Below are 9,803 nucleotides of genomic sequence, written 5' to 3'. Positions count from 1 at the left end.
TTTGGAGTCATCCAGTGGAGGGAAAAGCAGGAAATCTGGGTTCTGGCTTCAGCTTTTTGCTAATTGTGTAATCCCGAGTAAGTCACACGGTCTTTGGATCACAGAGGCCTGTATCTTGGAATGACTCCATCTGCTTGCCTCTCTCTGAACTTTAGAAATACGTCAGCTCTAACTTTTTTTCCTCCTGTGTCCTTCAGATCTAATCACCTACCAAGGTCTGCCATTTATTTCTTATAAATATCACTTCTTTGTAAATATCACTGTTCTCACAGTGGCTTTCATTCCGGTCCAGCCCTTATAAATTAATACCTAGATAACAAAAATAAGATTTTAAATGGCTTCACTGCCTGTAGCCTCTTCTTTCTCCTATCTCATCTGTTTCTATCACTAGATGAAGTTTACTAAAATACCTGTTTCACCATATTTCTTCTCTGCTCATTTAGCTTTGGTGACTTCCTGTAGCCTCTATGACCAAGCGTGACCTTTTCTAGCTAGCTCGTATGCCCACTTCACAAAACCAGCTTTATTCTTTACCTTTCTGTTGGAGCAGGGAAGATCTCCAGCTTGTCCCTAAAGCAGGCGGTGCTCCTGTCTGCCCAGGCCCTCTTCCTGCTTACGTTATCCTTCCTGCTGTCCTCGCCTCGCACCACATCCAGTCTCTGCCCATCCCTCAGGGTCTGAGTCAAGCTACCATGCTCCATCTCTATTGGATGGAGTGTCTCTTTCAGTCTGACAGCATCATTTAATTAATTAAAAGTGTGGGTCATTACCAATAAACACAGCGCAGTGGAATGCAAGATCCTGAGGACAGGACTAGAGAGGAAAAAAAAGTGTGATCATTTTCATGTCCCTTCCTTCTTCCCCAAAACCACGCAGGACCTCCCCAGATTTAGTTCAAATGTCACCTTCCAAGAACATCTAGTTAACATGACAGTGCCCCCTTCCCTTGTCCTGACACTTTCTAACTCCTTTTCCAACTTTGTTTTTCTCCATAGCTGTTATGACCATCTGACATACTATATATTTTATTTATTTGTTTATTATCTCTTATGCTTCTAGAATAAAAGTTCCATCAATGCAGAGGTTTTTGTTTGGTTAATTTGTGCTCTATCTCTACTGTCTAGAGCCCTGGCATATAGTAGGTGCTCAAAAAGTATTTATTGAATAAATGAATGAATAAGTGAACTTGAATGGGAATGGCCAAGTTTCACTTGTCTTTCAGGAGACAATGACAGTTTTTACCTTTTTATTCTCTTATTTTAGTTGTGCCTTTTTATGAATATCTTTCAACTCTGTTTTGTATTTGTTTCTTGGTTTGAAAAATCAAACCAGCAAGTAGATATCTTTATTGTTGTCTTACAATTGGTGAAACATACAGAAAGATTTGAGTGCAGGTATTTAAAACCAGCCATACTTTAGATATTAGAATTTGTAGCTCCTAATTTTCTTCACGTCATTCCTTGTTTTGTCATAAAAAATCTTTCAATATGAAAAGAACAAAGATTAGCAAACTTTCCTTTAAAAATTATCATTGAGGCCAGGCACGGTGACTCATGTCTGTAATCCCAGCACTTTGGGAGGCCGAGGCGGGCAGATCACCTGAGGTCAGGAGTTCGAGACGAGCCTGACCAACATGGAGAAACTCCGTCTCTACTAAAAATACAAAATTAACCTGGCATGGTGGCACATGCCTGTAATCCCAGCTACTAGGGAGGATGAGGCCGGAGAATCGCTTGAACGTGGGAGGCAGAGGTTGCGGTGAGCCGAGATCACACCATTGCAGTCCAGCCTGGGCAACAAGAGCGAAACTCCGTCTCAAAAAAAAAAAAAAAAAAATTATCATTGTGTTTTAGATATATACACATACAGATTTTTTATATTTTATATATAACTTTAATATACATATTAGTGTTTTAAATATAGCATTTAGAATATATTCAAATGTACAATGCTATTGCATATTCAGTAGGAATATTTGTACCATAGCATTTTATAACTAAAAGAATTTTGGATTAATTCATTAATGAGTGAATAAGTTCACTCTATCATCTGTGTGTCTTCTGTTCGTTCTTCCAGACCTTTACCAAGTGGTTACCATATGTCATGCACTGGGCTAGGTGATAGTAGGGGCCAAACAAAAAATAGTTGTTCCCTGACTTCCCAGAACTCATAGTCCAGGAATGAGACACACGTAAAGAAGGAAAGAAGAGGCTCAGGCCCAGGAACATTTTGCCATATAACAGCCTGGGCAAGTGAGGAAGCACAGAGAGGAAATGACTTGTTCTTGGGAGAGGGTAGTGGCAGAGAGATTGACGCTGAGGAAGAATGACTATACCGACGCTGTAACCGTGGAACTGGGTCTTAAACAAGTTCATGAGGCAGAAGGAGCACTTGTGCAAAGGCAGGGAGACAGGGGACACCGCAACTTATCCTGAGAACTAGAAGAATGATGGGAGCCCGGGGGTGCGGAGTGAAGTGAGTAGCAAAAATAGAGCCTTGGAGGTGGGCAGGGTCTGAGTGTGATCGAGCTTGATCTCACAGGCTGTTGACACCCGCACACGGCGATTGCTGTTTCTGTATCTAGGTCATAGTCTCTTGGGGGAGGCCTTGCCACCGGCTGTCCACAGTGAGGGTGCTGCTGATCCCAGTAGAACATGGCAGCAGAGGGTGGGGAACATTATGTCTCCTAGACCTGGCACCGTCAGCTCCACCTTTCTCAACCTGAGCTCACATATTGGACACTAATGCAAAATACATAGTTCTTTAGGGAAAAATTTAGGCAATTTTCCCAAAGTCATATCTCACGGAGAGAAAAATAAATTACGGGGACAGAGAGTCAAGAGATGATTGTGTAGTGTGGTCATTTTTGTCCCTCATTTGAGTGCCTACGTGCCTCTGGTCACTGCCTCACTCCTGACTCCCAACTTCCCCCTGCACTTCCCTCAGGCCTCTCTATTTACCCACTGCCCCATCAGTCTGTCTTCTCCTCCCTAAACCTTCCATTGCACATCCTTTGTCTAGTTCTTATGTCTGGACAATTTCCCAGGCAGCCACCAAATCTTGTGAACTCCCCTCTCCACCCCTTCCAGTTTCTGCTGGCCCTACAGAGGGGAAAGTTGGGCTCTGTTCTATGCTTGGGGGAGATCCAGTGGTGGGCTTCTATTCCAGGCTGTGGATAACATTCTTCTATGGAAAAAAATTAATTTCCTTCTGAAGACCCCCATCAAATATATATGAAAAAATCATATTCTTCCCATTCATTTATCTTGACCTTACTTCTTATAGGTTATAATATTGGCCTCACTATGCTAAGAGAGAAACTCCTGCCCACCCCCGCCCCTCACCTCTAGGCACATTACAAAGCTGTCAGCATGTTGGAATATTTCCTCTCAGTCTTTTTTAAATGAAAAATGTATTAATCTTTCATGCTACAGTCACATTGCTGGAAAGTTTCAATTTTGCATTTTATATTTATTTAGCTGTATTCATTTTCTGCGTTAATCTTATTTCTGTATTTACTATTTTATATCCATTATCTTGATGCCCTCAAATATTTATTTTGTTCTTTTTTGTTGTGTGTGTTTACATGTCACCACTAGCTCTGTGGATGAGGTGGGTATAGCAGGCACATATTGCTGTATTGATTCAGTATCCATTTCTCCCATTTCTGGGAGCAGCATCTGCATTTTCTGTATTTTCTGAAAAAGACGCTTCCTCCGTTTTCAGACCACAGTCTTGATGGAGCTGCCTCCACTGTAGGCACCAAAAGTGGGTCTCCAACCTAAGTCTGGCTCGTCAGATCATGTCCATCCTGTCCTTCATAATTAAGTCAGAGGACCAATAAAAGTCAGTAAGCCTCAAACCCAGAACTCTTGCTGGAACCATTTGCAGTGGAGACTTTCTCATTTTGTTGCAAATGAAATAGGAGAGGATGTAAGCCTGGACATTTTGTGGCCTTTTAGCCACCACCAGGATAGCTGCCTGAGATGGGAAGAAGGCAGAGCCGAGAAGAAGGAAAAAGAGAGAGATTCCTGATCAAAAGCGAATATTGATTGATTAGTTATTGTATGCCAAGTATTATTTAAGAATATATTGTTTCAGTTTATCTTCATTTTACAAATATGAAATGCATTGTCATTATCTCCACTTTACAGAGGAGGAAATTGAGGCACAGATTAAGAAAACTGCCTAAGGTTACCTAGCTTGTAATTAGTGGCATCAGGATTGAAACACAGGAGTTTGACCCTAAAGTCTGCCCTTATGACAACTCCACTATTCTGCCTTCTGATAATTTTTTTTTTGTTTAAATTAGTAAGCTACAAAGAGACTTGACTAGTAAAATTGAGCATAAGAAAGCAGATAAATGAAATAATTATACCTTCTTATGAGCATTTCAACTGACTCTTTCTCACCATGTATTTACTAATTTTCCATTGGCCATATATGTCATAATGTACATGGCCATGTCCTTGCTTAGGAGGAGGCAGGATAATGCAGTGGTTGAGAGTTTGAACTCTGAAGTCCAAACACCTGGATTCACATCTGACTTTTTCCTTATGAGCTATGTGACTTTTGGCACATTATTAATGTCTCTGTATTCAACTTTACCCATCAAATGGGCTTAATAGTGGCACCTTTTTCATAGGATGGTTATAAAGATTAAATAATAGAAAGCACTTATGCTAAGTGACAAGTAACTATTTCTATTATTATCACTACCTGTATCCATTAGTAATGTCTATAGCAACAACGTACTGAAAGTCCAATTGAAAGTGGCTTAAACATCTAAATTTATTATCTAAGTAAAGCAGATGAGATGGTCCAGAACTGGGCCAGCCACTCAACAGTGCCGTATGAACTGAGGTTCTTTCTGTCCCTTCCCTCTGCCGTCCTCAGCACATGGGCCTTTGGTTGTCATTCTTATGACCTCAAGGCTAAAAGATGGCTCCCATGACTCCAAGCAGCCACAGCATCACAAAATGGAAGAAAGGAAGAGGCCAGGGCTTTCTCCATGGGAGGTTCCATCTTTCCCAGAAGTCCTCCAGGAAATTTGTCTATAGTGTTCACTGGCCAGAAAAGGGTCAGATGATCATCCTCAGCTGCAAGGGATGCTGGGAAAGAGAGAATATCTGACTGAGAAAAGTGGATAACCCATGGTTGGCTCAGAACTATGGTGATTCATTTTCTTGAGCTGCCAAAATGAAAGAGGAACAAAGGGGAGAAGAGTTGTGTAGGCAGTGAAAAGAGGCTGCCATACCTTTTATTAAAAATATTAATTAAGATAATATACATAAAGCACAGAGCATATTACTAGATATTGAGTATGCTCTCGGGACATTTTGGCTGTGAATTTTATTACTAGTTGACATTTGGGTTGCTTTAGAGCCATATGGCTAAGGAAGCAGTTTAGTAATGCTTGCAAGGACAAATTCCTCCAACAGCAGAATGTCTAGATACCTCAATATTACATAACAATATATGCTTTTAAGGTGATTATAGTCGTGCTTTGATGGGTTTACACACTAAAATGCCCAAGGGTAATGTTCTTTAAATCAACAAAGTACTAAATTTTGTCATGCTGTCAGCCCACCCACACGTAGCTATAACTTAGCTTACTTTTACTTAGATGAGACCCCTATATAAGAAGAGTTTAAAACAAATATGGTGCATTCCTCCTCTTGCTTTCTAAGGATGCTCTACTCTGTAACTGAATAACTTTCAATAAACTCTCTTCTCACTGCACTCTGCAATTTGCCTTGAATTCCTTCCTGCATGAGATCCAAGAACCCTCTCCTGGGGTCTGAATCAGGCCCCTTTTTTTCCAGCAATACATTTATGAAAGAGAATATCCTTATTCTTAGAAGATACACACTAAATTATTTAGGGTAAAAGGGACAGAATGGTATGATGTCTACAACTTCCTCTTAGGGGGTCATCAATAATGCTGCTGCTGCTGCTGCTATTAGTAATTTCTATTAGAATCAGACTACAAATAATAATAATAATAAAATAAAACAATTGGTGAATCTAGATGAAAAGTAAGCAGAAATTCATGGTGTGTATGTTTTCAAGATAAAAAATTAAAGGTAAAATGCTACCAACATAATTTTGTTTTTTGTTGGTTTGTAGCAATTTATAAGCAATGTTATAAGAAATTCTATTTCATAGAACCCTCTTTGAGTTTTTTTCATTTTTGCAATTTTAATAAGCTACAAGTACATTTCAAAATATTTTTATGTGTTTATTAGGTGAGTTGAATTTTTTCCGTGTTAGTTCACTACATAGTTATATTTTCTTTTTTTTTTTTTTTTTTTTTTTTTTTTTTTTTTTTTTTTTGAGACGGAGTCTCGCTCTGTCGCCCAGGCTGGAGTGCAGTGGCGCGATCTCGGCTCACTGCAAGCTCCACCTCTTGGGTTCACGCCATTCTCCTGCCTCAGCCTCCTGAGTAGCTGGGACTACAGGCTCCCACCACCACACCCAGCTAATTTTTTTGTATTTTTAGTAGAGACAGGGTTTCACCGGGTTAGCCAGGATGGTCTCGATCTCCTGACCTTGTGATCCGCCCGCCTCGGCCTCCCAAAGTGCTGGGATTACAGGCTTGAGCCACCGCGCCCGGCCCTATATTTTCTTTTGTGTCTGTTTATGTCATTCCCCACTTGTCTATTAGGGCCTTAGTGTTTTTCTTATTGATTTATATTCATCTTTTATGTAATATGTGACTACTTTGGGGCATCTCTCTTTAAGTAACTATAATCTCCCTAAATACCTTGAACCATTTGGAGGACAAAGCCCAGGCAGGTTTACAGAATCTTTAGAAATGTTGTTGGTCCCTGCTTTCTCTCAGCATCAGACCGAATTTCATATAATATTATGAAATGCCTTTTTCCCATTTCAGTATTCTTCAATATCCTTCTGGCTCACTCCACCCCAACTCACTTCCCTACATAACACCATAACAATTCAGAGACCGTGACAAGCACCAGGACATTTTCAGAGAGGGAAAAGCAAGCTCTCAATTGGCTGGGCTGGAGCAATTGACTGGGCTGGAGCAGAGACTGGTTATGATACCATGACACAATCCAACTGCATGATCTCTGTGATTCTTGTGAACTATGCAGCAGCATGATGATGGTGTAGAGTAAGAGGTCAACTCTGGATGTTAGATCAAGGCAACATGACTGCCATGTCTCCAAATCTGTGTCGCATCCATTAGCAATTTGTGTCTTTTAAGACAGAAGCTCTCAAACTTTGGCAGTATCAGAATTGCCTGGAGAACTGATAACAAACACAAAGACTCAGACTCATTGAAGTAAATGAAGTATTGGCCTTTACAGGTATGCCAAGTTCCTCAGATGATTCTGTTACATATCAAAGTTTGAGAACCATTGCTTGAGAGTCATGAAATAAAAGGAAAATATTCCTAAAAGATGTGATTAAAAACCTTTATTAGCTTGAATTTTAGCTTGGATTATTCGAACAGAGTTGAGAGGAATCGTTTGCAAAAATGGCAATTAAGTAGGTATTTTGAGAGGCAGGATTCCTAACATGGGGAACAGAGCTCAGAAGGAAAAGCACAGGGTCAAAGGGGAGCTTAGTGCTGGTATAGGAAGGCATACTGTGAACTTAAGATGCTGAAATGGTTCTCTCTCCAGGAGTAGATCATCGTTCAGCAATAAACTTTTAAAAAACTGAGTATACTAATGTAAATGTCTATGTAACCCATACAGTGAAGGCATTACTAGTAGGTAAAATCAAAACACATCTTGGCCGGGCATTGTGGCTCATGCCTGTAATCCCAACACTTTGGGAGGCTGAGGGGGGCAGATCACTTGACCCTGGGAGTTTGAGACCAGACTGGGCAATGAGGCAAAACCCCATCCCTACCAAAAAATAAAAATAAAAAAATTAGCCAGGCATGGTGGTGGCATGTGCCTGTAGTCCCAGCTACTTGGAGGCTGAGGTGAAAGGTTGGCTTGAGCCCAGGAGACAGAGGCTGCAGTGAGCTGTGATCGTGCCGCTGCACTCCAGACTGGGCCACAGAGCCAGATCCTGTCTCAAAAACAAAACAAAACAAAGGGAAAGAAAAAAAGAAAGAAAAGAAAAAAAATCCCACATCTTTATTATGGTTTCCCAATGCCTCTTCAAAGCGCATTAAGTAGGTGTAATCCTCGCCCCTCCCATACGATAGTGGGCAGACCCCATGACTTTTACTAGCCAAGATAATATTCAAAACTCCACCTTATCTTTAATGGCAAACCTTCCTCCAGTTGGAGTGTGCTTTGGGCTGTCCACCTGTGGTGGGAAAGAGAGGAAAGGAGGTATGGTCGGTGTCTTCTCTCCACTTTGTGCCATTTCTCTTTTCTTCTCCCATCTCGGCTGGCCCACCATTTCTGACCTCTTGCTGTTGGAGGAATGCTAAGGAACAAGAAAGCTCTTACAGAATGGACACTGATGTAATCTGGTTTTGCACATTCTATGCCTGGTGGTTGTTCAAAACTGACGCTTTTCCTGGGGCTTGCTTGGGTCCTTTGGAAGACTGTTTTCCAGAAGACTTCTCTCCTACAGGTCATCGTACCTGGTTCATGCATCTCTAGTTGCATGCGTTCTTGGTGTTTACTTGTGACGCATTTGTAGCCCCCGTCTAGCTTCCTGCTGGTAGGGCCCTCCGCTCTCTAAGTGATCGTACTGGACAGAACCCCAAAGGACCCTTGGCTGGATCTCTCCCACATGGCACACATCTGCTCTACTGAAAATGCTCATGACTTTCCTGGCCCGAGAAGACTTGCTGATTCCAATACCACCTTACCCTGGTGCCCCAGGCTACTTTAGCATCGTTGGGCCAGAGTCAGGCAGCATCCTCTGGGTCTCCCAGCTCCATTTAAGTTCATGAAAATGGTCATTTAAGCTTTCTGAAAGGTGTCTTAAGAAGCCTTGTTAGAAGTAGCAGCCCTTCCTCATTTTTCTTCCCTATAAGCAGAAGTGGGAATTCTCCTTGATAAAATCCTCCCCCTAAAAATATCTTCAAAAATCTTGTGGAATCCAATAGTCATGGAAATGGTTCTCAGAATTTTCATGATAAGGTCTGCACATGGTGATCTGGTTTTGGAATACCCCTTTTGTTGTATTCGATTATCCCAGGGAAACTTTTTTTTCCAACATCCTGTTACTATAGTTTCAGATATCCTGCCATTAGGCCATATTTGGGGTCATAATTCAGGGCACTTTCGCCTGTATGGGGGGCCTCTTGGAAAGAGGAGCATATTATTGAAAACAGTAAGCAGTTAACGCTTTATTTTGCTTTATTATTTTATTGGTAAAATTTATTTCAATGCAAAACATATACAGAGACAAGTACACGGTGGTAAATGTATAGCTCAATAAATCTAATGAAATAAACACACCAATGTAACAGATCAAGAAAGAGGACATTACTAGCTTCCAGATGCCCTATCATGTGGCTTCCGAGTTTAGTTCCCTCAAAGATAATGAATATTCTGACTATTAATGTCATAGATCAGTTTTATCTTCTTTTGAAGTTTATGTAAGTGGAATCTTTTCTGTCTGGTCAATATCATGTTTCTGAGATTCATCTATATTGTTGCCTTTAGTTGGAGACTGTTCATTCTCATTACTGGATGGCCATCCTATGAATATACTTGGGCAGTTAATATTTGATCAATTAATTTCTTCCCTCAAGGGTAGCTCAAAAGTTGACCATGGCCTCCCTACACCATCCCTGATTTCAATCTGAATACACAGGAAGAGTCTCACCTTATTCTAATGACTTGCATTGAATATCAGAG

At 40.9% G+C, this 9,803-nt stretch overlaps 1 protein-coding gene across 4 annotated transcripts in view; it reads right to left on the bottom strand.

Annotated features, from left to right (window-relative positions):
• Positions 1–594, bottom strand: part of DOCK8 (dedicator of cytokinesis 8) — a 253,999-nt gene extending 253,405 nt beyond the window's left edge. For all 4 annotated transcript variants that reach the window (XM_017015173.2, XM_047423927.1, XM_011518045.4 and 1 more), the window contains exon 1: positions 535–594. The gene's annotated coding sequence lies outside the window, so the exon portion shown is untranslated. The remainder of the gene's footprint in view (positions 1–534) is intronic.

This window comes from Homo sapiens, chromosome 9 (genome assembly GCF_000001405.40).
Source record: "Homo sapiens chromosome 9, GRCh38.p14 Primary Assembly".
Classification (NCBI taxonomy): domain Eukaryota; kingdom Metazoa; phylum Chordata; class Mammalia; order Primates; family Hominidae; genus Homo; species Homo sapiens.
The sequence above is the reverse complement of the archived record's forward strand: the minus strand, read 5'-3'. Positions and strand labels throughout refer to the sequence as shown.